The sequence below is a fragment of the Homo sapiens genome, chromosome 17, assembly GCF_000001405.40.
Source record: "Homo sapiens chromosome 17, GRCh38.p14 Primary Assembly".
Classification (NCBI taxonomy): Eukaryota; Metazoa; Chordata; class Mammalia; order Primates; family Hominidae; genus Homo; species Homo sapiens.
The window spans coordinates 40,074,165-40,100,823 of NC_000017.11; the positions used below are offsets into that span (position 1 = coordinate 40,074,165).

Here is a 26,659-nt window from a genome sequence, read left to right on the forward strand (position 1 = left end):
ACCCCTGCCTCTCTCTTCTCTCCACAGGGATCTCTGGACAGGACAAGACTCCGAAGCTACTCCCCCAGCACACAGCCCGGGACCCACAAACCCAGCTTGCCCCCAGCCCTCCCACCTGCCACTCCCTGGCCCCTCCCACCGCCCGCCCCCCTTGGGGCGCAGGGCATGGTGTGAAAGGCCAAGTGCTGAGGCGGGTATCATGGGTGCTGTGCCCTAGGGCCTGGGTGGCAGGGGGTGGGTGGCCTGTGGGTGTGCCGGGGGGGCCAGTGTGCCCACCCCAGTCTCTTGGCGTGCTGGAGGGCATCCTGGATGGAATTGAAGTGAATGGAACAGAAGCCAAGCAAGGTGGAGTGTGGGTCAGACCCAGAGGAGAACAGGTAATGGGTTCAGCAACTAGGTCATGCCAACTCCTAAGCAGCAGGCATGGGCACCTGGCTGAGCTCTCCTTTAGGCACCGCCTTTAAGCACCTCTGTGGGATGGACGTGAGGCCAGCAAGCCTTCTGCCTACCTTTGTCTGGCAGATGAAGTCATGTTCAGATGTGACAGGCACTTGGATTGAGAGATGCTCATTTTGAAGCGGGGAGCGATACAGAGCAATTACAGGGAGCACATAAGGGGCTCTTCCCTAGACATTGCTGGGCAGTCTCAGATGCCCCCAACGTCCCTTCCACCATTGCTGCCCTTACCTTGAGCATGTGGGATCCAAACAGCCTTGCCATTTTCTTCCTCTCCCTACCAGCCCATTTACTATCTGACCACAAGTGTGTTGTCCACAAGCTGCGGTTCACGTAATACATTTCAGGGCACATGCACCAGTAACTATTGGTCATAGCCCAAGCTTATATTCGGAATCTATTGGGAGCCCCACAAGCTCTTCCTTGTTCATGGTCAAGGGCGGGCACTGCGATGGGGCTCCTCCCAGAAAGTGCACGCCAACCATGATGGTTTTGCTTCCACATGGGTGAGGTGTCAGCCCTGCACATACACCAAGGGATGGTTACCTGTGATCTGCATTGCCCTTGAGGAGCCCAGAGGGTCTCTGTCTTTTCTATCAGCTCCAAGTGGCACAGAGCTTTGTCCCAGTTGGCACGGTGCCCTGGGAGCTGGGTACAGCCTGTGCCTATGGCCAGGGAGAGGGTGGGGGTGGGGGTGCTCCGGGGAGCAGTGTGGCTGACTGTTGCCTAGGAGATCAGATCCCGAGCCAGGAAGCCAGAGGCCTGGCCAGGCAAAGCCCTAAGGCCCACAACTGGGTCCCTGGAGGGTAGAGGAAGTAGATGGAACTCACAGCTGGGCAGGGCATGGGGTAGCTCCCCTCCCCCAAAGCCTCACCCCAGGAAGGACTCTGAGGACGATCTGGCCTGTCGCTGTGTGGCTGTCACTTGCAGCCCCTGTGTCTCCCAGCTTAGGCTTCTGTGGGTCTGGAAGAGTCTGTGCTTAATGTTTGGAGAAAGGCAGGAATGCCAGTTCCCAGTCTCCTAAGACTGCAACCCCTCCCCCATCACCTTCCCCTCCCCCATGTCTATGCGCCACCTTGTGGCTATCTCTAGGACTACACTCAGAGGCTGTGAGTCTGGTGGTAACTGCTGAAGCCGCTAGCTCAACTGGGGCCTAGGTGGGCTGAGTTCCCCTGCACCCAACCCTCTGGGAGGCGTGAGGGAGACCTGACCTTTCAGCCTCATAGGAAGTAGACCGGAGTAATCCCCACGGGGCGTGGAGCATAGGGTTGTCTGTGACTGTGACCCTGGCCAAGGTCACTGTGTCAGTGTGTTGGGAGCTGCATCCGGCTCCAGGAGGAAGGGGCCTGCAACATGCCACACGCAGGGTGGGTGCGGGAGGTTATACAATCCTTGCATGCATGTAGAGGGCTTATGTAACCTGTGTGCACCGAGGTTATGCAACATGTATGTGGAGAGCCTGGCAACATATATGTGCAGTGGCTGAGGGTTGCTAATAATACGCTGCACAGAGGGGCTCAGTCCCGGCTCTGACTCTAGCTCATGGTGTCACCAGGCACAAGCAGGGTCTCAGTTTGCTGCTCTGTTAAATGGAGGCTGTGCAGAGGGTGTAGTGTTTTCTATTGCTGTGGGTTATTTAGCATGTGTGTATGACCTGGAGCTCAAGCAACACGTGCACACTGGAGGGATGAGGGTGGTTTTATGAGGTGCCTGTGCAGAGTGTTGTGTAACACATGGGCATATCCTAGAGGTTGTATAGCACATTTAAGAATGCCCTGAAAATTTCACAGGTATGTTGGCCCTGGTGCATACTCACCATCCATGGGTTTATAGTGAAGGTTGCATGGTTATTCATCTGTGCCGGTGTTATGTTGCATATGTATGTGTGTGTTCTAAAGGCTACATAGCTTTAAGCATATCCTGAGAATTCTTCCAGCGTATTCGTCATGTACTGAAAGATGAGGATGTCCTGCAGATTATGGGTGCTTCAGGTCTTCTGGCGGGTGAATGTGTGTGTGTTGGGGCTCTAGAATATGCTTGTGCCACAGCCAAGCCCCTTATCTCTCTCCCCTGCAACTTCCAGATAACTGGACCCTTTTAAGCATTGTCAGCTGACCCTGGGGGGTGGGAGGTAGAATGAGGACACAAAATGGAAAGAATCAGGCCTTGGGGGATTGCATAAGCCTCTCGGATGAGAAAGGGGCTACTCGAAGACTGCTCTGTGATTCTGCCCACTTTGCCTCCATCCAGTGCCAGGTCACCAGATGGAAAGCGAAAAAGAAAGAACGGCCAATGTTCCCTGAAAACCAGCATGTCAGGTGAGGCTGGCTGTGCGTGCCCCTTCTCCACGTCCCCAACCCCACCAAACCCAGCCAGGGCTCCTCTGGACCTGGATGTGGAACAGTAATTCATGTGTTCCCTGGGGGGAGCCTCCTAGAGGGCTTGGGATGGACTTGTCTGGGGGTGAGAAAGGTAATGTGGGATGTGCCCAGCTTTTGAGGGTGGATTAGGTCAGGACGGCCTCTTCCCTCTTCCCCTAATACCCTCATCTGAGGCCCTACCAGAATCAGGGCCTGAGCTGAAGGACTGAGGGGCTGTATTATCCCCAGTGAGCAGCTGACGTTTATTTTTCCCTCTCCACCATCCTCTGCCTTGTAGATAGATCAAGAAGAAAGCCCTGAATGGGCAGTCAGAAGAACTGAGATTCTTCATACTCTTAGGGCAGAGATGGACAGGTTCACCTCGTGTCTCTCTAGGATTCTACCAGGGAGGCTGGGCTAGGAGAGGGGTCAGAAACAAAAAGTTGAGGGATGGGGAAAAGTGTGAGAGCCTCTCTGCTGGGACTCCAAGCCATGCCTGCCTTCCTCCATCCTTTCCTTCCTCCCAGGGTATATCCCTAGTTACCTGGACAAAGACGAGCAGTGTGTCGTGTGTGGGGACAAGGCAACTGGTTATCACTACCGCTGTATCACTTGTGAGGGCTGCAAGGTATGGAAGCTACCTCCTGCCCCTCCCCTGCCACCTGAGCCCCCATATTACTCCCTATGTCACCTAAAGCCCGCCTGTTAGGTCATCACTTTTTTTTTTTTTCTTTGAGACGGAGTCTCACTCTTGTCCCCCAGGCTGGAGTGCAGTGGCGCGATCATGGCTCACTGCAACCTCCGCCTTCAGGTTCAAGTGATTCCCCTACCTCGGCCTCCTGAGTAGCTGGGATTACAGGTATGCACCTCCACACCCAGCTAGTTTTTTTGTATTTTTAGTAGAGACGGGGTTTCACTATGTGGCCAGGCTGGTCTCGAACTCCTGACCTCAGGTGACCACCCGTCTCAGCCTCCTGAAGTGCTGGGATTACAGGCATACCTGCCTGGTTACTTTCTCTTCTCTTCTCTTATTCATTCATTTACTCATTCATAACTCCTCCTCTGCCACTCACAGGAAAATTGCCTAACTTCTTCGAGCCTTAGTTTCAGTTTCTTCATCTATAAAATGAGGATAATCATTCTCTCTACCTTATAGCATTGTTGGGAGAATTAAATATGTTGGGAGATAGTTCACTTGAAGTGTTTAAAACAGTGCCATTGGGTGCTGTGGCTCATGCCTAAAATCCCAGCCCTTTGGGAGGGAGGCCAAGGCGGGAGCATCCCTTGATCCCAGGAGTTTGAGACCAGCCTAGCTAACACAGTGAGACACTGTCTCTACAAAATTAAAGAAATTAGCTGGGTGTGGTGCCACATGCCTGTGGTCCCAGCTACTCAGGAGGCTGAGGTGGGAGACTGCTTGAACCCAGAAGGTCAGGGCTGCATTGAACGGTGGTGGCGCCACTGCACTCCGGCCTGGGTGACAGAGCAAGATTCTGTCTCAAAGTAAAATAATAAAATAAAATAAAAAATAGTGCCATGTGCATAAGAAGCATTTGATAAATGCCAGCCATCACCCATTCATTCAGTGTATTCTTAGGTGTGAGAGTGTAGTACGTACCTCGCCTTCAAGCTGCTCACAGCCTGTCAGAGAGAGAGACACAACTTGAAACAAACATCAGTGTTATTCAAAATGTGGTTCATGGACCACCTGTCCTACTAGTTAAAATGCAGATTCCCAGCCTTCATCTTTTTTTTTTTTTTTTTTTTTTGAGATGGCATCTCGCTCTGTTGCCCAGGTTGGAGTGCAATGGTGTGATCTCGGCTCACTGCAACCTTCGCCTCCCGGGTTCAAGCGATTCTCCTGCTTCAGCCTCCTGAGTGGCTGGGACTACAGGCACCTGCCACCACGCCCAGCTAACTTTTATATTTTTAATAGAGACAGGGTTTCACCATGTTGACCAGGATGGTCTTGATCTCTTGACCTCGTGATCCGCCCGCCTTGGCCTCCCAAAGTGCTGGGGTTACAGGTGTGAGCCACTGCGCCCAGCCTGCCCAGGCTTCATCTTAACCCTGCTCACTCAGAGCCCTTTTGTGGAGCCCAGGAATCTTCCTTTTAACAGAATCCCGGAGTGTTTCCCATGCACCTGAAAGAGCGAGAGCCAGTACTGGGGGGGTAGTGGGAGCTGGGAGCACAGAGGAGAAGAGGACAGCAGGTTCTTCCAGGCAGAGGGGATGACAAGGTCATAGATTTTGGGAGGCCTAATTGTTTTGTTTTGTTTTTTTTGAGATGGAGTCTCGCTCTGTTGCCCAGCCTGGAGTGCAGTGGTGCAATCTTGGCTCACTGCAACCTCCACCTCTCGGGTTCAAGCAATTCTCCCTGCTTCAGCATTGGTAGCTGGGATTACAGACACCTGCCACCAAGCCTGGCTAATTTTTGTATTTTTAGTAGAGATAGGGTTTCACCATGTTAGCCAGGCTGGTCTCGAACTCCTGACCTCAGGTGATCTGCCTGCCTCTGCATCCCAAAGTGCTTAAGAGGCCTAATTAGATTTCACTTTGATCATTTCAGCCTGGATAGCCTTTCCAGGATCACCTCCTAAAAATGCAAGGCCTTCCAAGAAACAGAATTATTTAAATCCCAGCACTTTGGGAGTCCAAGGCAGGCAGATCACCTGAGGTTACCACACCCGGTGGCACTGTTTTAAACACTTCAAGTGAATTGTCTCATTTAATTCTCCCAACAGTGCTATAAGGTAGATAAAATGATTATCCCCATTTTATAGATGAAGAAACTGAGACTCAGAGAAGTTAGGCAATTTTCTTGTGAGTGACAGAGGAGGGATTATGAATGAGCAAATGAACGAATGAGTAAGGTCAGGAATTTGAGACCATCCTGGCCAACATGGTAAAAGCCTGTCTCTACTAAAAATACCAAAATTGGCCAGGTGTAGTGATGTACGCCTGTAATCCCACCTACTTGGGAGGCTGAGGCAGGAGAATCTCTTGAACTTGGGAGATGGAGGTTACAGTGAGAGTGGAGATTAAGTCAGTGTACTCCAGCCTGGGTGACAGAGCGACAGAGTGATACTCTGTCTCAAAATAAAAAAAAAAAGAAACAGAATGATTTATATGTTAAAGGCCAGGTATAGTAGCTCACGCCTGTAATCCAAACACTTTAGGAGGCCAAGGTGGGAGGATTGCTTGAGCCCAGGAGTTTAAGAACAGCCTGGGCAACATAGTGAGACCCTGTCCATACAAAAAAATTTTTAAAGTAGCCAGGCATGGTGGTGCACACACACCTGTGGTCCCAGCTACTCAGGCAGCTGAGGTAGGACGATCACTTGAGGCTGGGAGGTCGAAGCTGCTGTGAGCTGTGATTAAGCCATTGCACTCCAGCCTGGGCGACAGAACAAGACCCTGTCTTAAAAACAAAAAACAAACAAAAAAAAAAAACGGAAAAAAAGTTTAAGGCTTGAAGTTTCTCTCTCTTTCTTGATGTCAACCAAACCAAGACCATGAGGGATTTAGAGTTCCCTAGCAGAAGCAATACAATCCTTCTGGAAGCAATACAAACAGTGTAGCATAGAGAAAGGATCTTTTACTCTCACGGACATCTGAGTCCCAGGGAAGCACCCTGAAAAGACAGAGATGCCTTGGCCCCACCCTTGGATAGTTTTATTTTGTAGTTCTGGAGTGAGGCCCAGGAATCTGTATCTTTGGTAGGTGCCTTTGGTGACTTTTTTTTTTTTTTTTTTTTTTCAAGACGGAGTCTCACTCTGTCACCCAGGCTGGAGTGCAGTGGCGCGATCTTGGCTCACTGCAACCTCTGCCTCCCAGGTTCAAGCACTTGTCCTGCCTCAGCCTCCTGAGTAGCTGGGATTACAGGTGCCTGCCACCTCACCTGGCTAATTTTTTGTATTTTTAGTAGAGACAAGGTTTCACGATGTTGGCCACGTTGGTCTTGAACTCCTGACCTCGTGATCCACCCACCTCAGCCTCCCAAAGAGCTGGGATTACAGGCGTGAGCCACCGCACTCGGCTGCCTTTGGTGATTTTAATGCCCCTGGAATCTGAGAGCTCAGACGTTGGTGTCCCATACCTGAGGCCCAGTTCTGACTCTGCTGCCCACCGGCCACATGACTTTGGGCAAATTGCTTCATCTCACCAAGCTTCAGTTTCCTTGTCTGCAAAGTGGAGGCAGTAACAGTTCCTACCTCATAGGGTTGTCTGGAGGGTTCACTGTGATGTTCCATGAAAGACAAGGCTTATCTTTTGGGTTTTTGTTTTTGTTTGTAATGGGGTCTCTGTCACCCAGGTTGGAGTGCAGTGGTGCGATCATAGCTCACTGCAGCCTTGACCTCCTGGTCTCAAGCAATCCTAAGCAATCCTCCCACCTCAGCCTCCAGAGTAGCTGGGATTATAGGTGCACGCCACAACCCCTGGCCAATTTGTGTATTTTTAGTAGAGATGGGGTTTTGCTATGTTGGACAGGCTGGTCTTGATCTTGAACTCCTGGCCTCAAGTGATCTGCCTGCCTCAGCCTCCCAGAGTGCTGGGATTACAGGTGTGAGTCATTGCACCTGGCCAGCAAGGCTTATGTTTACTAAGTGACTGACACATTGTAAACATGAAAAAATACTAATTCTTCATATTATTGCAATCATCTTGAGTTTTGAGGTGTTTCCTTTAAAATAAAGGCGAGGCTGGGTGCGGTGGCTCACGCCTGTAATCCCAGCACTTTGGGAGGCCGAGGTGGGCAGATCACCTGAGGTCAGGAGTTCGAGACCAGCCTGGCCAACATGGTGAAACCCCATCTCTATAAAAATACAAAAATTAGCCGGGCGTAATGGTGGGCACCTGTAGTCCCAGCTACTCGGGAGGCTGAGGCAGGAGAATTGCTTGTACCTGGGAGGTGGAGGTTGCAGTAAGCTGAGATCACACCACTGCACTCCAGCCTGGGTGACAGAGTGAAACTTCATCTCAAAAAGAAAAAAAAAATTAAATTAAAAAAATAAAATAAAGGTGAATCCCAATGTAGAGAATTGAAATTTTTCTCTTCCCCTACTAGAGTTCATACTCAGTCCCTTTCCTTGACTTTTTTGGTTCCCCTGTTTTATGAATTCCACCTGCATGGACAACAGGCAACATATATGAGAATGGTTTTTGGGTCAGTGTTGTTTTTAAAGTCATTTAGCAAAATGGAAAATGAGGTTTTACTTGGATTTCCTTTTTTTTTTTTTTTTTTTTTTTTGAGACAGAGTTTTGCTCTTGTTGCCCAGACTAGAGTGCAATGGCACAATCTTGGCTCACCGCAACCTCTGCTTCCTGGGTTCAAGCAATTCTTCTGCCTCAGCCTCCCAAGTAGCTGGGATTACAGGCATGTGCCACCATTCCCGGCTAATTTTTTCTTTTTTTTTTCTTTTTTGAGATGAAGTCTCACTCTTGTCACCCAGGCTGGAGTGCAATGCGAGCTCCACCTCCTGGGTTCAAGCGATTCTCCTGCCTCAGCCTCCCGAGTAGCTGGGATTACAGGGGCAGGCCCAGCTAATTTTTATATTTTTAGTAGAGATGGGGTTTCACCATGTTGGCCAGGCTGGTCTTGAACTCCTGACTTCAGGCAGTCTGCCCGCCTGGGCCTCCCAAAGTGCTGGGATTACAGGCATGAGCCACCGCGCCCGGCCAAGGGGTGGACCCCGCCGTGGTTCCACCGCGGCTCAAACCTAGGACCTTCTGCATGTAAAGCAGATGTGATAACTGCTACACTATAGAATCGCATGCTTTTTTTTTTTTTTTTTTTTTTTTTTGAGATGGAGTCTCATTCTGTCACCCAGGCTGGAATGCAGTGGCGCGATCTTGGCTCACTGCAACCTCTGTGTCCTGGGTTCAAGCAATTCTCTGCCTCAGCCTCCTGAGTAGCTGGGATTACAGGCGCCCACCACCACGCCCGGGTAATTTTTTTTTTTTTTATACGGAGTCTTGCTCTGTCACCCAGCCTGGAGTGCAGTGGCGCGATCTTGGCTCGTGGCAAGCTCCACCTCCTGGGTTCACGCCATTCTCCTGCCTCAGCCTCCCGAGTAGCTGGGACTACAGCGCCCACCACCATGCCCGGCTATTTTTTTTGTATTTTTAGTAGAGACAGGGTTTCACCGTGTTAGCCAGGATGGTCTCGATCTCCTGACCTTGTGATCCGCCTGCCTCAGCCTCCCAAAGTGCTGGGATTACAGGCATAAGCCACCGCGCCCGGCCTACGCCCAATTTTTATACTTTTAGTAGAGACAGGGTTTCACCATGTTGGCCAGGGTGATCTTGAACTCCTGACCTCATGATTCATCCGCCTTGGCCTCCCAAAGTTCTGGGATTATAGGCATGAGCCACTGCACCCAACCTCATGCCCGGCTAATTTTCTATTTTTAGTAGAGACAGGGTTTCTTCATGTTGGTCAGGCTGGTCTCGAACTCCCGACCTCAGTTGATCTGCCCACCTCGGCCTCCCAAAGTGTTGGGATTACATGCGTGCGCCACCGCGCCCGGCGACTTGGATTTCCAAAGCTGCTATTCCTTAAGGCCTCACATTATCCCAGGTTCAAAGCTGCCTGCTCTAGACATCATTCCTGCCTCTGCCACAAACACTACCCAGACACCCCCAACCCCTCAGCAGCCTGGGGGCTGAGGGCATATATTTCTCAGGTCCTTGAGCCTAGTAATCTTGGGCTCATGGTGTCAGGAGGATGCCAGGTCCCCTCACTGATCTTGCCTTCCTTGCTCTCCACCCCTGACCCCTAGTAAACTGCATGGTTGGTTCAGGAAGGGGAAGCCATGTCATGATCACAGCCTGCTCCATCTCCCCCACCCCAGGGCTTCTTTCGCCGCACAATCCAGAAGAACCTCCATCCCACCTATTCCTGCAAATATGACAGCTGCTGTGTCATTGACAAGATCACCCGCAATCAGTGCCAGCTGTGCCGCTTCAAGAAGTGCATCGCCGTGGGCATGGCCATGGACTGTAAGGGGCCCAGGTGGAGGGAATAGAGCCAGGTGGCCTGGGGTGGGGATGAGTTCTGGGAGGGCAGCTTCCTTCCAGGGTACCCTCAGAGCCCACAGGGCAGAGTGGCAATCCAGTCTAGGTCAGAATGTTCAGTGTCTTGGTCCTTGCTGTCCTCCTTCCTGCGCAAAAGGAAACAGGATCCCTGTGTGGGCCCCAATGCCTACCTGCCTTACAACACTCGAGGGCCTTAGAGAGGGAGTCGTTTGGTAGAAAGAGCTCCTGGGCACCCACTCTAGCACACTGTTCTTGACTCCCAGCGAAGGCACCCCACTTCTAGATGAGACAGGGCATCTTCCATTGGCTGGGGATTGGGTGGCAGGATATTCGAGTAACCACCGTCACCATAATCCGTTAGACCAGAACATGATATTCATCTGGATCAGCCCAAACTGTTGTTGACATGGTCCCGGGGATTAATCATGATCCGGGTTGTGCTGCCCAACTGCTAGGTGATTTGGGAAGTCATTTAGCCTCCATGGCCCTCGGTTTCTCCAACCTGTACTCTAGGAAGAGTAGTTTCCGGGAGCATTATGGAAAGGGGATGGAGGGTGCCATGCGTTAGACCTTGTGCCTCTCTGTTCACAGTGGTTCTAGATGACTCGAAGCGGGTGGCCAAGCGTAAGCTGATTGAGCAGAACCGGGAGCGGCGGCGGAAGGAGGAGATGATCCGATCACTGCAGCAGCGACCAGAGCCCACTCCTGAAGAGTGGGATCTGATCCACATTGCCACAGAGGCCCATCGCAGCACCAATGCCCAGGGCAGCCATTGGAAACAGAGGCGGAAATTCCTGGTAAGGAGAAAGGGGGCATGGGGAGAGCAGTAGCCAGGTGGCAGGGAGAAGAGAGTGAGCTCGGAGTCTTGCCTCCTCCAGGAAGTCTTCTTAGTGTAATCCAACCCAAAATACATACTCTTCACACTTTTGCTGTCCAGATTTTATACACTTGTGTTTGTGTCCTTGCTGTCTGGACTGTCTACTCCATCCAACTGGGAGCTCAATGAGGACAGGGCCTTGCCTTCCTCATCGAATTTCCAGGGAGCGGGAGCGACCTTTCTTCTTTTTCCTGCCCTTAGTGACTGGGAGGAGAGGGTAAGGATACAGTTATGTCACAGTATTTTTGAGCACCTGCTGGGTGCCAGGCATTATGTTAGGCCCTGGTCAAGCTAGTTGCTAAGTAAATGATGAGTTTGGGACCAGGTGCAGTGGCTCATGCCTGTAATCCCAGCAATTTGTGAGACCAAGGTGGGAGGATCGCTTGAGCCCAGGAGTTTGAGACCAGTCTGGGTAACATACAGAGATCCCACCTCTATGAATAATTTTTTTTTTTTTTGATACGGAGTCTCACTCTCACCCAGGCTAGAGTGCAGTGGCACGATCTCGGCTCACCGCAACCTCCGCCTCCTGGGTTCAAGCGATTCTCCCGCCTCCGTCTCCCGAGTAGTTGGGATTACAGGCACTGGCCACCATGCCTGGCTAATTTTTGTGTTTTTAGTAGAGACAGGGTTTCACCATGTTGACCAGGCTGGTCTCGAACTCCTGACCTCAAGTGATCCACCCGCCTCGGCCTCCCAAAGTGCTGTGATTACAAGATGTGAGCCACCATGCCCACCCTCTATGAATAATTTTTTTTTTTTTTTGAGTTGGAGTTTCGCTCTTGTTGTCCAGGCTGGAGTGCAGTGGCACAGTCTTGGCTCACCGCAACCTCTACCTCCCGGCTTCAAGCGATTCTCCTGCCTCAGCTTCCCAAATAGCTGGGATTACAGGCGTGCGCCACCACGCCCGGCTAATTTTGTATTTTTAGTAGAGACGGTGTTTCTCCATGTTGGTCAGGCTTGTCTGAACTCGCAACCTCAGGTGATCTGCCTGCCTTGGCCTCCCAAAGTGCTGGGATTACAGGTGTGAGCTACTGCTCCCGGCCTCTCTACGAATAATTTTAAAATTAGCTGGGCATGGGGGTGTGTGCCTGTGGTCCCAGCTACTCGGGAGGCTGAGGCAGGAGGATCCCCTAAGCCTGGGAGGTCGAGGCTGCAGTAAGCCATGATTACACCGCTGCACTCCAGCCCAGGCAACAGAGCAAGACCCTCTCTCAAAAAATATGATCAGTTTGGGAGGAGATGGACAGTTGGCTATACGTGGTGAAGGAAGGCAGAAAACCAGCACCTGGTTCATGGTGGAGCATGCCGGGGGGTGGCACAGTGCACACTGTTAAGGGCACGGGCTCTGATTCCAAGCAGATGTGTAACAGTCACGAGTCAGACTGCCCAAGTTCAAACCCTGGTCCTACCACTTGCTGGTCATATGACTTTAACCTTATTATTTAGCTGCCCCATGCCTCAGTTTCCACATCTGTGAAATGGTGATTATTATAATTATTCCTTTTAGGATTATGGTCAGGATGAAATAAGACATGTAAAACATGTAGCCTGATGCCTGATCATATATTAAGTATTCAGTCATTATAGCTGCTACTACTGTTACTACCGTTGTTATTATTAGCTGACTTGGAGCTCTGGTTCTGGTCTATTCTCTGCTCAAGATGAAGGAAAAGCTTTGGGCCTGGGACTCAGGCACGGGCGGCCCCTCTTCCCCAAGCTGCCTTGGAGCTCCCCCTGGTGGGCAGGGAGCCTCAGTGAGAGGCTGAAAGGGGTCTGCGGCCCCAGCTGACCCCCGTCTTTCTCTCTAGCCCGATGACATTGGCCAGTCACCCATTGTCTCCATGCCGGACGGAGACAAGGTGGACCTGGAAGCCTTCAGCGAGTTTACCAAGATCATCACCCCGGCCATCACCCGTGTGGTGGACTTTGCCAAAAAACTGCCCATGTTCTCCGAGGTGAGTGGCAGAAGTGGGGAGAGATGTGATGCTGTGCTGGAGGGAAACCTGCTCCCCCGGTCACCCAGTACAGGCTCATCTGAGGTTCTCTGGACAAGGAGCAATTCCTGTAGGTCAACATACACAGATAACATACACAGACACACACACACACATGCATACACATACACCCAGCACACAGGCACACATGCAGACACATACACGGACACACACACACACCTAGCATACAGATACGTACACAGACACACATACACACACACATACACCCAGCACACAGACACACACACACCTAGTACACAAACACACACACAGATACATAGAAACACACACAGACATATACACCCAGCACACAGACACACACACACACACAGACACACACCCAGCACACAGGCACACACACACACACACCTAGCACACAGCCACACAGATACATAGACACACACACACAGATACAGACACACACACACACACAGACATATACACCTAGCACACAGACACACAGATACATAGACACACACCTAGCACACAGACACACACACACAGACACACCCAGCACACAGGCACACACACACACACACACCTAGCAGACACACACATAGATACATACAGACACACACACAAACACACAGGCACACACACACAGCATACAGACACACGCCAAGGTCTGGCTGCTCTAAGAAATCAGCCGGCTCCAAGTGCTCCCCTCCACAGCCCCTCATCCTTCAAGTCTATGCGGCCACCCAACTCCAGGCAGCCTGAAAGTTCTCATTTTCCAGAGCACTAGTGCTGGAGACAGGCTGCCCTACTAGCCATGTGACCTGGGGTAAGTTACCTCCATCCCCTGTGCCTCAGTGTTCCCATCTGGAGTGGGCTGGGGATAATGATGGGTGCTAACTCACAGGCATAATTTTTTTTTCTTTTTTGAGACAGATTTTCGTTCTGTCACCCAGGCTGGAGTGCAGTGACGCGATCTGGGCTCACTGCAACCTCCGCCTCCTGAGTTCAAGCAATTCTCCTGCCTTAGCCTCCTGAGTAGCTGGGACTACAGGCATGTGCCACCACGCCCAACTAATTTTGTATTTTTAGTAGAGATGGGTTTCACCATGTATGTTGGCCAGGCTGGTCTCGAACTCCTGACCTCAAGTGATCCACCCGCCTTGGCCTCCCATAGTGCTGGCATTATAGTCGTGAGCCACTGCGCCGGGCCTCACAGGCATAACTGTGAGGCTTAAATGGAATAGGGCATGCACATGGCCCAATACAAGGTCAGCCGTTCAGAGTCCATGGGGGCCTTGCGGGCCTCACGGCTCCCGTAGGACACTCTAGGGGAGACTCAAGGACGCGGGGAGGGGTATGCTGAGTGCTCCTGTGGCCCTGCCGCTCCACAGCTGCCTTGCGAAGACCAGATCATCCTCCTGAAGGGGTGCTGCATGGAGATCATGTCCCTGCGGGCGGCTGTCCGCTACGACCCTGAGAGCGACACCCTGACGCTGAGTGGGGAGATGGCTGTCAAGCGGGAGCAGCTCAAGAATGGCGGCCTGGGCGTAGTCTCCGACGCCATCTTTGAACTGGGCAAGTCACTCTCTGCCTTTAACCTGGATGACACGGAAGTGGCTCTGCTGCAGGCTGTGCTGCTAATGTCAACAGGTACCTGCTGATTAGTCGGGAGGGCTCAGAAGCTTCCAGGGGTCCCAGAGATTGGCTGGACCCTGGGCCTGTTGCTCAACTCCCTCCTGAATCTTCTTCTGGGCTACCTCTCTGTCACCTGGGCCATCCCCTATCCCCTGTTCCTTGCTCTGTCACACACTTCTCACTCGTTCCCCAGGCCCATCCCTTGCCTCCCCATCCCTGCTCTGTGCCTTTTCCTGTCTTTGTCTCCTTCCTTCTCGCTGCCCTGTCCCTCTGTCACTCACATTCCCCTTTGTTCCCCACTCCCCACTTTGTTCTCAGCCACCTTCCATCCCCTCATCCCTCCTCTGTCTCCCAGTCCCATCTCTTACCCCTCAGTCCCCTCCCTAACCCCATCTGCACCCCGCCTCTCTGACCACCAACCTCAGTCCTCCCCACTCCAAGGCTCCTCTCTCTCCCCCAGCCCCCGGCCTGTCCCTCTGTCCTCCTTGCATTGCCCCCTCCCCCCAGTACCCCCCTGCCCCTCTCCACTTCCCAGCTGCCTCCCTCTCCCTGTGCTTCTCCTGTCCACGTCTCTCAGGGGGAGCTTCTCCCCTCCCCTCCCCCAGCCTCTCTGCCTCTATCTCCCCTCTAGTCCTTTCTTCCCACGTCCCCACACCTCACCCTCCCCATCTCCAGGCCTTCGGCCAGCCCCTCGCCCCTCACGCCCCTCTTCCCTCACAGACCGCTCGGGCCTGCTGTGTGTGGACAAGATCGAGAAGAGTCAGGAGGCGTACCTGCTGGCGTTCGAGCACTACGTCAACCACCGCAAACACAACATTCCGCACTTCTGGCCCAAGCTGCTGATGAAGGTGACTGACCTCCGCATGATCGGGGCCTGCCACGCCAGCCGCTTCCTCCACATGAAAGTCGAGTGCCCCACCGAACTCTTCCCCCCACTCTTCCTCGAGGTCTTTGAGGATCAGGAAGTCTAAAGCCTCAGGCGGCCAGAGGGTGTGCGGAGCTGGTGGGGAGGAGCCTGGAGAGAAGGGGCAGAGCTGGGGGCTGAGGGAGACCCCCCCACACCCCTTCTCTCCTTCCTCTCGTCCTTGGATAGATTCAGCTCCCACACACACACCCGCACTGCCCAGGTCCCTCCTCAGACCTCCAGCCCTGGGACAGGGCAAACAACTGAACTTGCTATGGAAAGGACAGTGTGGGAGGCTGGGGGAGCTGTGTCCTGCAGTTCCCAGGACCCCATCCTCTCAGAAGGTAGGGGAAGGGCGGGAGGATTGAGAAGGGACAAGCCACCTTGACCGTAGGGGAAGGAGGAATGTGGGCTGGGGGAAGATGCCCTCAACTCACCCCCTACACACACATGAGAGAGAGCCCCCACCCAGTTCCTTGGCCTAGGTCTCCCCTCCAGGCTGAGGGCCTCTCTACTTCCCCAGATGCCTGGGTGCAAAGAACGGCTTGGCTTGGCTCCTCCTCTGGAGGTTAAAATTTATAGTCATTCTAACTGCACTTTGGAAACCAAGCAAGGGGAGAAGACAAATGAAGAAAAACTAGACAGAGAGAAAAATACAAAAAAGAGAGAGCGAGCGATAGAGAGAGATGATATTAAGTTATTAACTGAGGCTGACCAGAGGGGAGGACCCCCCCTTTACCACCCCATGCACTTTGCGAGCTGCCCCTTCTTCCCCCACATCAGAGAGAAATGCCCCCACACCAGAGCCCCAAGGGTAGGGCTGCCGATCAGAGCTGTGAGTTAACACAACAGGGTCCTGGCCACCCCCCTTGCCATACCCCGCCCTCTGTGCCCCTTTGGCACCCCCCAACCCTAGTATGTCCTCTGCTTTCTGCCACTCGTGCCCGCTGAGTTCCATCTACCTCTCATGCTGGATGCCAGCTGGCCCCTCACCAGCCTGCCCTGCTGCCCACACAGCTCCCCTTTAAGTGCCCAGCCCTAGGGGCCTCTCCCCATCCACCTCCTCCTTCCACACCTTGGCACCCACCCAGGAAAAAACTGTGGCTCCAACTCCTACCCTCCTTATATCCTGCAGTATTAGCTAGAAACCGGATGCTGCTGCATTGGTTGGGTCGGGGGTAGGAGGGCTGTGCGTGAGCGTCTCCCAGAACCCTCCACCCCTTTAGCACTCTGTTTCCCTGTTTCCCATCTGTCTTCTGGGCTCTCTCTAACCTCTGCCCTCCTCCCCAGCTCCTACTCACTGCACTAACTCTGGGCGGGCAGGTACCAGAATGGGGGTGTTTAGATAAGTGACACTTAGTTGGGGCCCCAGGGGAGGGGTGGTCGGTGCTCCTTTTTCTTTAAAGCTCTTTTGGCCAGCTGCCCCTCTGCCCCGGGACCCCTTCCCCTCTTCTTTTCTCTAATTCAGGGACTTTGGCTTGAGCCCCTCTCGCCCTCCTGGTGAGGGTGCTCTGTTGGTCTGCACTTGGGTGAGCTGTCCTCCTCCCCCTCCCTGTGGCTGCCGCCCACTCCTCAGGGGAGAGAGGGAGAGAGGAGGTGGTCCTCCCATGGGAGCAGGAGGTGGGGTGGGACAGAGCAGACCAGAGGGTGCTGGGCTCAGGGCTGCATGTCGGCAGGGATGGATGGGTGGACACAGATGCCCCCGGAAGCCATGGGGATTGGGGCAGGGGGTGGGGGGAGGGGTGCCAGGGCTTCCTGCGCTTTGCACTATTGGGGCAAAAATGTCTTAAGCAGTGGGGAACCTGCCACCCCACCCTGACCCTCAGCCTGCCACAGCCCCCTACACACACACACACACACACACACACACACACACACACACGGACATGCACACACGGACATGGGAAGGCAATGCTATGCTGCCCGTCAGGGCACTGTCCTTCCCCAATCGTTCAGGTGTTCCAACAGGGGTGGAGGGCCTGGAGGAGCACCCGCTGTCACCTGTGCATGTGCCTGTCCCACCCTGCTGGGGCCTCGGGCTGCCCGCGCTGTCTTTGTCTCTATCCTCTCTCTCTCTCCTGGAGTACTGAATCCTGTATTACTCCAGTCCCATGGGTAGGCCCTCTTGTACCTTCCTACCACGCCTGGGGGCCCAGTGGAATTCCTGACCTGTCTGCTGTCTTCCCCATCCCTCCATCCCCACCCCAACCCCTCCATCCCCATTCTCAGCCATGGACACGGCAGAGAAAAGGCCTTGAAGAGCCTTAGCCTCTTATAGGCACTTGGGACTCCCCCACCCTCCCCAATCATATGAGCTGTGATCCCATCCTCCCCGGACCCCTCCCTTCCCCCTCGGTGATGTGGGGTGTATGTGTGCGTTCCTCTGCGTGAATGTGTGAGTGAGTACACATGGTAGGGGAGGAGCCAGGGCGACTCAGGAGTGCCACGCACCTGCTCTAGAGCGGCAGCTGTCCCAGTCCCTGCTGTGGAAGTGGGGGACAGGGCCCTCTCCTGGGGGCCATTGGTGCTAATGAGGGGGATGGCCTTGATGTGGGTGCTCAGCATGCCTCCCCCAGTATTGGCCCGGGGCACTAGGGCAGGCAGGGTGGAGCAGCAGGTGCAGTATCGGTGGGAGGACGGGTTGCTGGGAATAGGACGAGGGGGCCAGGCCAGGACAAGGGGTTGCCAGAGCCATGACCACTACCCCGCCCCCACCACCCGCCTCTCCATCTCAGTATTGCCCCTCCCATCACTCATAACACACATACCTCATCCAGCCTCCTCCCTGCTCAGACTTGGGGAGGGTGGGGGAGGAGCCCCTACCCCTTCTCCTGGTGGCGGGTCTGCAGGGCTGGGAGAGGGCAGGGCGTTGTGAGAGAGAGACCGTCCATAAGGAGGACAGTAACTCCTGCCCTGGGAACTCCTGGGCGGGGGGGAGGGGGACACTGCCCAGAGGCGCTACTGAATGTATGAGAAGCTGGTGCTGGGCTGGGGGGAGGGGGGTTGTGGCCAGAAACAGGGAAGGAGGTAGGTCTCTTCCCCAGGGAGGGGTGGGACCGGCAGGGGTGACTTGAGGGGCTCCTACTCCTGCCCCACGTTGACAATCAGTATGTCTGTTATGTGCGATTTTTCACCCCGTTGTGTTTTGGGTCAGGATTTTAAAGAAAGATATTTTTATGGTAATTGTTGCTCGTCTATTTTACTATATATTTATGTAATAAATATATGATGAAAATAACCCCCTTGGGCACCCCCCTTAGACTTGTGTGCTGTTTCCCTATATCCTCCCATCTGCTGGCAGAGTACCCACCCCACAAACTGACCAGATGGAGAGGTGGCCCCCCCCAGCCTTGGCAGTATTTCCACCCCACCCCCCAAACGAGCACACACCACAGAAGCCAGCTCAGCTGTGAACTATTGGATTTGAGACAGGAACAGAACAAATCAGAGGGCCAGGGGAGGGTTGTGGGGGAGACAGAGTGGTTTAAATAGGGGAGGAGGGGAAGTTCGGTGATGGGGGAGGGAGGCAGGTATTTACAAGAAGGCTCAGGGGGCCAGAGGCTCATCTTGGAATATTTTATAACAATATAAATAAGATTCTGGTTTGCTTTTCCTTTTCGTCTCGTAAAGGAGAGAGAAGTGCAGAGTTCGATTCTGTACAAGGGGGCAGCGGCAGAAGGCCGGCCGGGCGGGTCACTGGGCGTCCACCCGGAAGGACAGCAGCTTCTCGGAATGCATGTTGTTCAGGGTCCGCAGGTCCGGCAGCTTGAGCAGCAGCTTGGTGAAGCGGGAAGTCTCCAAGGGCCGGTTCTTCAGCACCAGAGCCCGAAGAGCCCGCAGCAGCGTCTCCTGGAGCTGCTCCACCGAAGCGGAATTCTCCATGCCCGAGCGGTCTGTGGGGAAGACGACAGCAGTGAGGCGGACTCCCCGAGCTCCTCTGAGGAGGAACCGGAGGTCTGCGAGGACCTGGCAGGCAATGCAGCCTCTCCCTGAAGCCCCCCAGAAGGCCGATGGGGAAGGAGAAGGAGTGCCATACCTTCTCCCAGGCCTCTGCCCCAAGAGCAGGAGGTGCCTGAAAGCTGGGAGCGTGGGCTCAGCAGGGCTGGTCACCTCCCATCCCGTAAGACCACCTTCCCTTCCTCAGCAGGCCAAACATGGCCAGACTCCCTTGCTTTTTGCTGTGTAGTTCCCTCTGCCTGGGATGCCCTTCCCCCTTTCTCTGCCTGGCAACATCTTACTTGTCCTTTGAGGCCCCAACTCAAGTGTCACCTCCTTCCCCAGCTCCCCCAGGCAGAAATAGTTGTCTGTGCTTCCTTGGTTCATGCTTCTACTGTGACACTTATCTCACTGTTTTATAATTAGTCGGGCATGAGTCTGTTTCCCAAGCTAGACTGTGTCTGAATCATGTCTGTATCCCCAGTGCCCGGTGCAGGGCCTGGCATAGAGTAGGTACTCCATAAAAGGTGTGTTGAATTGAACTGCGTCTGCCTCCTCCCCCGGGTCAGGCGAGAGCCTGACCTACCTGCAGAGACAAGCACCACCGCGGTGAAGAGGCCCAGCTCCTCCTCGGTAAGCGCCAGGGAGTTGAGCTTCTCGCTGAAGTCGAACATGGCACTGAGCAGGTCTCCCATGCCCATGGCACCAAGCTCCTGCAGGCTGTAGGTGGTGCGGCTTAGGAACATCACTGTCTGGTCCTTCACGTTGAACAACGAAGCAAAGCGCACCATCAGCACCTAGGAGGGAAGGGGAACAGTCATCCTGGGTGTGGTGGGAGGAGCACTGACCAAATCGCCCCTGTAGTTTGCCAGAGGGTTTAGCGGTGCTGCCTTCGATTTCTCAGTAGAGTGGGGGTTGTTTCTGAATGGCCAATGAGGGAGCCCAGGTGGAAGGATGGCTTTGGGATCCAATAAGCCTGAATCTGAGTGTCAGCTTTGTCACTACCTGTGACCTTGGGCAAGGCATTCACCAAAGTTAATCTGCTCTTGTCTAGAATGGGGGCAGCAGTGCACCCAAGGCATTATTTCAGTGTAATGGGTTGTGATTAAATTCCAGCTGAGATGACAGAAGTCCCAGCCATCAAGAGGAAGCAGCAGGAGCCGCTCAGCCCCTTTCACCAATCAGGCTATAAGGACAAAGATACTGGGTTCCAAAACCTTTCAGAGGTCCTGCCCACCCCAGACAGCAGGGCTTTCTGTTGGATCCTTCCCAAGGTCAAAAGCAGGAAGCGTCTGGGTGCAATGGCTCACGCCTGTAATCCCAATACTTTGGGAGTCCAAGGCGGGCAGATCACCTGGGGTCAGGAGTTTGAGACCAGCCTGGCCAACATGGCGAAACCCTGTCTCTAATAAAAATATAAAAATTAGCCAAGCGTGGTGGCGGGAACCTGTAATCCCAGCTACTTGGAAGGCTGAGGTAGGAGAATTGCTTGAACCCAGGAGGTGGAGGTTGCAGTGAGTGGAGATCGCACCATTGCACTCCAGCCTGGGCGACAAGCGAAACTCTGTCTCAAAAAAAACAAAAACCAGAAGCATAAACGGTCACTCACCTCAAAGGTGCCAGCCTTAAGCAGGGTGACTTGGTCATGCTGAGAAAGGTCACGGAAGCCCGGGATGTGTTTGGCAAACTCTACCACCTCCCGCACAGCGGGCGTGAAGCTCATGGAGAAATCCTCCCAGATCTCCTGCACCGTTCGCCCACTGCGTCCATGCGGGTACATGTTCATAGGACATGCCTGGGGGAGGAAAAGATTGAAGGAGGGGAGTGTCAGCCAGGCTGGGTCAGATGGACGCCCCGAGCAGAGCTGGACCCCAGATTCTGCCTGGGCTAGGGGCTGTGGCCCTGAAGGATGGGTCTTTCAGATAAAGTAGCAATTAGGTGCCAGGTGGAGATTAGGGATTCCCAGGCAGAGTCCAGACTGCAAGGCAAGACATTTTCTCCTGGGAAGATGCTATCCCCACACTCAGCCTCCAGGAACCCCCAGCTGCCCTACACTAAGTCCATTCTGCCAGGCCCCCCCAATCTTCTTAACGCACTCGCCCGCCCCCATGCCCTTACCAGCAGAACATTCTTTGAGTTGCCCTGCCGGGGACTGTTGGCAGGTGCCTTGCCTTCTGGGGCTGCATACACGTGGGTGGGGCATAGACGGTGCCCGTTGCTGTTGGACTGGTGGCAGCTGTGGTGTGCAGGGCCAGGAGGCCAGGTGGGAGGGTAGGAGGAGGGAGCCTGGCGCAGACCATTTAGGGCCTCGTTATGACGCTGGGCAGCCAAGGTGTTGTTGTCATTGGGGGCAGGTGGGCAGCCCTGATTTTCCCAGCGATGTGGGGTGGTGGCTGGAGGGCTACCTGATGCATGGTTGGCATTGAAGTTGCCAGGTGAGCTGCCCAGCTTGTCATGGGCGTAGGTGAAGATCTCTCGATGGGCCCGGGCCACCTGGGATATCACATCCTCCACTGTGGGCTCAGGGCTTGGGGATCTGGGAGGCGTCAGCTGTTGTGGAAACTGGGAGAAGCCCACCAGGGGTGAGGGGACCGGAGCAGGGGGTGGCGAGGGGCCCATGGGGCCTGGGGTGGGGTGCTGGGTGGGTGAAGTCTCCAGCGGGCACTGGCTGCTCAACTGGTTGTTGGCCAGGTTCATGGCACTCTGCATCTCAGCAAGCATCCGCTGCTTCTCTCGTTTGGGGATGCGCCCAAAACGCACAGCTGCAACAGGATGAGAACAGCATCAGGAAGTTCTCAACCATGCTCACGTGCTTCTCTTCCTTCCTTCCTCCTGAAAGGGCAAGGCCCTGAAGGCTTGGGGTTTCACATCAAAACTAAAACCAGCAAGTCCCCACCCATCAAGGGGGTTTCCCTAGGAGGGATTGCTGGTAGGAGGTGACCCGAGGGACCAATGGGATAGAAGTATATGTTGACCCAAGCAAATGAAGGATGGACATCCCCTGGCACATGTGATTCACAGTATGATGTGTCTCCATTTGTGACTTTTTTAAAGGGAAGGATTAATTCAGAAACTTTGGGCGGAAGAAGGGGGGAGGATGTGGGGATGCTGCCTCACCGTCTCGAGACATGCCCACAGAGAGACACTTCTTGAAGCGACATTGCTGGCAGCGGTTGCGATTGATGCGGACGATGGAGCAATTCTCATTCTTCAGACACCTTTTGTACTGGATGTTCTGCTGGATGCTCCGACGGAAAAAGCCCTGGAGGGCAGGGGTGGTTAGTGACCACCTCCATCATGGCTGGGCCTCTGTGTCCAGGGGGAGGGGGCCACCTGCCCCTGCCCTTACCCCCAGTCCGCCTCACCTTGCAGCCCTCGCAGGCGTGCACACCGTAGTGGAAGCCCGAGGCAACGTCCCCACACACTTTACACAGTAACACCATGCCATTCAGCTCTGTGGAAGAGACGGGCAGCAGGTGAGCAGGAGAGGCCAGGCTGAGTGGCCACAGGTGTGGAGGCTTTCTGGGCCGGAGATCCAGGGAGGGAAAAGCTAAGGAGGAACTCCAGTGTTGAGGGGCACTGGAGTGACAAAACTGGGCTGAAGAGGGGCTGGTGCCACTCTAGGAGAAATCCCTGAAGCCAGAATAGGTCCTGGCAAGACTGGTGTCACGTAAAAACCCATTCCCAATCTGGCCCTGGCCTGCTTCCCTTCCCCCGAATCAGCTGGAAAGGTACTCACTGGTGATGTTGCTGGTGCTCTTGCTGGGGGACACTCGGCTGCTGTCCTCCATGGCCACTTGTAGACTCCCAGGGGGGCTCCCATTATAGAAGGAGGAGGAGGATGACGACGAGGAAGATGAGGAAGAAGGGGAGCCGTCATCACTCAGGCTGGGTGGAATGCTCCCAAAGGAGCGAGCCGGGTCTTGGGTGAGGGAGCCAGTGGGGGATGGTGGGAAGTAGGTGGGACAGCCTTGGGTCAGGGACTGGAAGCTGCCATTGGAGTTGTCACTATAGAGGGATTCAGGGCTGGTGCGGCTTGGGGAGGAGCCACTGGAGCCAATGTAGGTGATGACGCCACCTGGAGAGAGAACAAAAGGAAAGGGGGTGTCAGCCGCCATGTCTCCGGACCTAGGGTGCCACTGTGCTCATCCCCACCTGTCTGCCCAAAACATTGCTGGCCACTCAGTTCACCATGTGGAGCCCCTAATCTTGGAGTTAATAAGCAATTCCCCAACACACAGTAGACATGGCATGGCCAAGCAACACCTACGACCCTTTGCAGGCCACCTTCAGCTTCTGCTTTCAGTATGAGGCATGACCCCTGTGGCATCTCGCATATGTGCCCCCCTTCCTTAGTTGCCTTCCTTGGGAATATCGACTGCAGCTAATGACTTAGTTGTCAGTTGAAGATCTGGGGATGGGATGGGCAGCTGAGCACCATTCAAAGTGCCCAGTCCTCCAAAAACAAAAACCCAGCTGCTGATTTTAACACTAAGACCATTCCAGGAATGAGACCATGGACCATGGAGAGATAGGTAGCCAACAGTAAAGAGAATGGAGGGTTTACAAAAGTAAGACAGTCACATTCCCCCCAGTTGGGGACATATATTCTCTGAAGGAAATGAAGGGAAGGAATCTGCCCAGCCTGGTTCCCCTGGCCTCTTAAGAGAGTGAGCCACAGTGGAGTCTATCCCTGTGTCCAAAAAGGACTTCGAGGTGCGAGTTGCAGGAGGTGGAAGTACAAACTGTCCAGCCTGGGGCTCTAAAATTCCCCCTTCAGATCTCAGCCTGGTAACAATGACCTTGGCTCTCTGGCCATTCAGGGACTTTGACCCTCTGGTTACATTGCCAATGAGGTGGCTGTGCTCCCGTGGTATTAGCAGGAGAAAAAGGTGACCTGCCTGCCACACCTCCGGCAAGCACCTAGATTGGTCTGCCATGGGCGGGGTGGGAGAAGGGAGGATCCCAGGACACATGTGACCTAACACATGCCATGCCACTGTGTCTGCAGAGGCACATGTCTTGCTCACCCACTGACACACACTGAACTGGGCAGGGCGGCCCTAAAATAGCTCAAGGTTGGTCAGGGTGAACCCAGCTCCTTGGAAAATAGTTGCACAACAGATCAGCTCCCCCGGTTTCAGGGCTGAGGTGGGGGATGGAATCATTAGTTGGCAGTAAATGAAGTTGACCTAGTTCACCCATCCCCCAAAAAGGAGTGAGACCTTCATGCAGAGGCTTCCAACGTGGAAGTGAGGAGCATACTCAAGAGTCTAGGTCTAGGTCTAGACCCATCACTACCAACTTATTTTGTGACCTAGAGGACATCAACTCCCCTCTTTGGGTCTCAGTTTTCCTTTCTGTGAGAAAAAAAGGACAGTATCATTTCAGCTATGATTGTGGGGTGCAGTTGCTTTGGGGAGCCCTTAGTAGGCAAACTGCAGCTTGTCTGGTGGAGATGGGGGTAAGACAATGCTCGCAGAACTAAGGAGAGAGAAGCTTGGGGAACAGGAATTTGTAATGTGGGGAAGCTGAGTCTAAATGCAGTACGGTGAAGTAGGTGCAAATAAGAGTGAAGTGGAAAGGAGTGAGAAGGGTGGTTAGGGGTGAGGTCTCTTTAGGGAGTGTAAAACAGAAGGCCATGAAAGGTCAGGAATGGCTCCATGTTACTTTGTTTTGGTGATGGGGGAGGGGGCCGGGCAGGCGGACCGGAAAAGGAGGCAGGCGGGGGCGGTGAGTCAGCCCAGCTTCACCCAGATCTCGGCGGGGCGGGGCAGGGCGGGAGCTGGGCCCTCAGCCGGCCTCACGTCCCTGCTCCACGTGTGCCTCTCGCACGTGGCTCCCCAACGAGGAACCCCGGAACTCGAGGCCCCGCCCTCCTCGCTTCCCGTCAATCGAGAGCAGTCGCCCCGCCTCCTACCCGCCCTTCCCCGGCCACCAGGTCGTGGGCTGGACCCCGAACGATAGCAGGGCCAGGACAACCTAGGGGAGGAGAGAAGGGAACACGCGTTGCCGGGGCGACCGGGGGGGCGGAGCTCATTATGTAACGAGGCCGGGAGGCAACGACCAATGGGGTGGCAGCCACGGCTTCTGCTGAATGAAAACAAACGCAGCACGTGGGCCCGGCTCTAGAGCCATGTGAGCCCTCCCGGCGGCCGGAGCCCTGTAGGTGCCCTCCCTCGGGCCGGGCACCACGCTCTGGACTCCTCAAGTGTCGCTCCCTCCTGTCACTGAGGATTCCCCAGTGAGATCCGAACGATTCTCCCAGCCCCTCCTTCCCTGAACCCCATCGCGCCACTCTTCTCAGATTCCCTCGCGCCTGCAGGAACTAGAGGAGGGGGAAGACAAGAGGGGAGGGGGTCCGTTTTCTGAGGCCAGGCATACTACAGCTGCAGGTAGTGGACAGATGGGGCCGTTTCGGGGCACTGTTCCAAAGCTCCCAGTCCCCCTAAATTCTTCGCTTCACCACCCGTACCTCCTCTCCATTTCCTCCTGCCCAGGGATTCGAGGCTCAAGGGAGCTTTGGGACTCTGAGGGGTGGTGATGGGGCGTTTCTGAGAGCATTTCCAGCCCGAACAAGCCGCTCTGGAAATCCCACACTAAAGCACCGCAGCACGTTAGCAAATCTCCGGGCCGAGGGACACCCCAGTCCCTTACAAAGTTCCTCTTTTTATAAGGCGTAGATGGAGGTGGGGAGACAGTGACAGGGAAAAGATGATAGTAAAGAAATCTCAGTACCTGTGTTGTTGTTGGAGTCCAGGGTCGTCATGTCTTCACCAGCTGAGAGCGGTCATTCAAACTGGACCTTGACTCAAACTAGAGGTTGCGATCGCCGCTGTTGCCCCCTGGGCACTGGCTAAGGGCGGGGAGTGGACCCCGCGACTCACGATCAGGATCCGAAGCACCCTGCAGCAAGGTCTTGGGGTGGCCGGACTGCAGCCCTGCAGAAGGGTTGGACGTTGAGGCAACGGAGTTCTGCTTTGCATGGGAAGAGCAGAGAGAGTGTGTAGGGGGAATCAGCCTGCAGTAGTTCTGGCTAGAAGGTAGCAAGGAGGGTCGGGTCTCTGCAGTGTACGGGGTGCCTCTGCCTGCCGGCTCCGCAGCGCTGCGGGGTGGCGAATCTGGAGCTCCCGGTGCAAAAGTCCCAGAGGAAGAGAGGTTGCAACCAGGAAGTAAGTAGGTGATGGGGAGAAACGGGGCACCGAGTCGCAAAGAGGCGAGACGTGTGCCCTGCTACGTTCCCTCGGCAGTAATATTTCACTCTGCCAATCTCAGCCGCCTTTTGCCCGAGCCTTTCCCTGGGACAGAGGGCTCTGCGCAGGCGCCAGCAGCCCAGGGTTCCCGGGCCGCACGCGGCACTGGAGCAGGTACCATGTGATCCCAGGGAGCGCCTCGTGCCCCAGTGACACACTTTTCCAACAGCCGGCACGTTGAGCTCTTGCGCGCCTGCGCAACGACAAGACTGTCGGGATTTGTAGTCCACCGACAAAGTGGGCGG

The 26,659-nt window shown here is 54.4% G+C and overlaps 2 protein-coding genes across 6 annotated transcripts in view, besides 15 other annotated features; one reads left to right on the forward strand and one right to left on the reverse strand.

Moving 5' to 3' along the window:
* THRA (thyroid hormone receptor alpha) overlaps positions 1–19,703 on the forward strand; it is a 31,675-nt gene extending 11,972 nt beyond the window's left edge. For 2 of the 5 annotated variants that reach the window (NM_001190919.2, NM_003250.6), the window contains exons 2-10: positions 28–377; positions 2,707–2,774; positions 3,344–3,444; positions 9,671–9,818; positions 10,446–10,651; positions 12,543–12,689; positions 14,078–14,336; positions 15,042–15,169; positions 18,856–19,703. In NM_001190919.2, coding sequence (NP_001177848.1) covers positions 325–377; positions 2,707–2,774; positions 3,344–3,444; positions 9,671–9,818; positions 10,446–10,651; positions 12,543–12,689; positions 14,078–14,336; positions 15,042–15,169; positions 18,856–19,218 — 1,473 coding nt within the window. In that variant the 5' untranslated portion in view covers positions 28–324 and the 3' untranslated portion in view covers positions 19,219–19,703. The other 3 variants (NM_199334.5, XM_047436632.1, NM_001190918.2) reach the window with 2 other exon arrangements.
* Positions 620–1,475: an enhancer, noted in NCBI's record as "H3K27ac-H3K4me1 hESC enhancer chr17:38231037-38231892 (GRCh37/hg19 assembly coordinates)". NCBI's record gives its function as "activates a minimal SCP1, AML or CMV promoter by ChIP-STARR-seq in naive H9 embryonic stem cells {active_cell/tissue: H9 hESC(naive)}" and the evidence as "EXISTENCE:reporter gene assay evidence [ECO:0000049][PMID:30033119]".
* Positions 1,599–1,678: an enhancer, noted in NCBI's record as "active region_12123". NCBI's record gives its function as "activates an Ori minimal core promoter by ATAC-STARR-seq in GM12878 lymphoblastoid cells {active_cell/tissue: GM12878}" and the evidence as "EXISTENCE:reporter gene assay evidence [ECO:0000049][PMID:35858748]".
* Positions 16,426–17,051: an enhancer, noted in NCBI's record as "H3K4me1 hESC enhancer chr17:38246843-38247468 (GRCh37/hg19 assembly coordinates)". NCBI's record gives its function as "activates a minimal SCP1, AML or CMV promoter by ChIP-STARR-seq in primed H9 embryonic stem cells {active_cell/tissue: H9 hESC(primed)}" and the evidence as "EXISTENCE:reporter gene assay evidence [ECO:0000049][PMID:30033119]".
* Positions 17,052–17,678: an enhancer, noted in NCBI's record as "H3K4me1 hESC enhancer chr17:38247469-38248095 (GRCh37/hg19 assembly coordinates)". NCBI's record gives its function as "activates a minimal SCP1, AML or CMV promoter by ChIP-STARR-seq in primed H9 embryonic stem cells {active_cell/tissue: H9 hESC(primed)}" and the evidence as "EXISTENCE:reporter gene assay evidence [ECO:0000049][PMID:30033119]".
* NR1D1 (nuclear receptor subfamily 1 group D member 1) lies at positions 18,629–26,425 on the reverse strand. The gene is made up of 8 exons (NM_021724.5): positions 25,900–26,425; positions 22,901–23,239; positions 22,527–22,615; positions 22,279–22,423; positions 21,280–21,923; positions 20,771–20,956; positions 19,748–19,958; positions 18,629–19,118 (listed from the first exon to the last, which is right to left on the reverse strand). The coding sequence occupies exons 1-8, from the start codon at positions 25,928–25,930 to the stop codon at positions 18,919–18,921; spliced, it is 1,845 nt and encodes a 614-aa protein (NP_068370.1). The 5' UTR covers positions 25,931–26,425; the 3' UTR covers positions 18,629–18,918.
* Positions 21,761–21,950: an enhancer, noted in NCBI's record as "active region_12124". NCBI's record gives its function as "activates an Ori minimal core promoter by ATAC-STARR-seq in GM12878 lymphoblastoid cells {active_cell/tissue: GM12878}" and the evidence as "EXISTENCE:reporter gene assay evidence [ECO:0000049][PMID:35858748]".
* Positions 21,971–22,080: an enhancer, noted in NCBI's record as "active region_12125". NCBI's record gives its function as "activates an Ori minimal core promoter by ATAC-STARR-seq in GM12878 lymphoblastoid cells {active_cell/tissue: GM12878}" and the evidence as "EXISTENCE:reporter gene assay evidence [ECO:0000049][PMID:35858748]".
* Positions 22,091–22,230: an enhancer, noted in NCBI's record as "active region_12126". NCBI's record gives its function as "activates an Ori minimal core promoter by ATAC-STARR-seq in GM12878 lymphoblastoid cells {active_cell/tissue: GM12878}" and the evidence as "EXISTENCE:reporter gene assay evidence [ECO:0000049][PMID:35858748]".
* Positions 24,072–24,366: a silencer, noted in NCBI's record as "tiled region #6187; HepG2 Repressive non-DNase unmatched - State 1:Tss". NCBI's record gives its function as "represses a minimal TATA promoter and a strong SV40 promoter by Sharpr-MPRA in HepG2 cells {active_cell/tissue: HepG2}" and the evidence as "EXISTENCE:reporter gene assay evidence [ECO:0000049][PMID:27701403]".
* Positions 24,569–25,768: an enhancer, noted in NCBI's record as "BRD4-independent group 4 enhancer chr17:38254986-38256185 (GRCh37/hg19 assembly coordinates)". NCBI's record gives its function as "activates an origin of replication core promoter dependent on BRD2, P300/CBP, MED14 and CDK7 cofactors, and independent of BRD4, by STARR-seq in HCT116 cells {active_cell/tissue: HCT116}" and the evidence as "EXISTENCE:reporter gene assay evidence [ECO:0000049][PMID:35650434]".
* Positions 24,569–26,655: a biological region, named in NCBI's record as "BRD4-independent group 4 enhancer GRCh37_chr17:38254986-38256185".
* Positions 24,687–25,671: an enhancer, noted in NCBI's record as "H3K27ac-H3K4me1 hESC enhancer chr17:38255104-38256088 (GRCh37/hg19 assembly coordinates)". NCBI's record gives its function as "activates a minimal SCP1, AML or CMV promoter by ChIP-STARR-seq in primed H9 embryonic stem cells {active_cell/tissue: H9 hESC(primed)}" and the evidence as "EXISTENCE:reporter gene assay evidence [ECO:0000049][PMID:30033119]".
* Positions 24,890–25,239: a silencer, noted in NCBI's record as "silent region_8474". NCBI's record gives its function as "represses an Ori minimal core promoter by ATAC-STARR-seq in GM12878 lymphoblastoid cells {active_cell/tissue: GM12878}" and the evidence as "EXISTENCE:reporter gene assay evidence [ECO:0000049][PMID:35858748]".
* Positions 25,250–25,339: a silencer, noted in NCBI's record as "silent region_8475". NCBI's record gives its function as "represses an Ori minimal core promoter by ATAC-STARR-seq in GM12878 lymphoblastoid cells {active_cell/tissue: GM12878}" and the evidence as "EXISTENCE:reporter gene assay evidence [ECO:0000049][PMID:35858748]".
* Positions 25,672–26,655: an enhancer, noted in NCBI's record as "H3K27ac-H3K4me1 hESC enhancer chr17:38256089-38257072 (GRCh37/hg19 assembly coordinates)". NCBI's record gives its function as "activates a minimal SCP1, AML or CMV promoter by ChIP-STARR-seq in primed H9 embryonic stem cells {active_cell/tissue: H9 hESC(primed)}" and the evidence as "EXISTENCE:reporter gene assay evidence [ECO:0000049][PMID:30033119]".
* Positions 26,121–26,190: an enhancer, noted in NCBI's record as "active region_12127". NCBI's record gives its function as "activates an Ori minimal core promoter by ATAC-STARR-seq in GM12878 lymphoblastoid cells {active_cell/tissue: GM12878}" and the evidence as "EXISTENCE:reporter gene assay evidence [ECO:0000049][PMID:35858748]".

Coding starts and splice junctions, on each gene's coding strand:
- NR1D1 (NM_021724.5), bottom strand. CDS start 25,930: ATGACGACCCTGGACTCCAACAACAACACAG. Junction 22,424..22,526: donor ACGCCTGCGAGGGCTGCAAG/GTGAGGCGGACT, acceptor CCTGCCCTCCAG/GGCTTTTTCCGTCGGAGCAT. Junction 19,959..20,770: donor TTAAGGCTGGCACCTTTGAG/GTGAGTGACCGT, acceptor CTTCCCTCCTAG/GTGCTGATGGTGCGCTTTGC.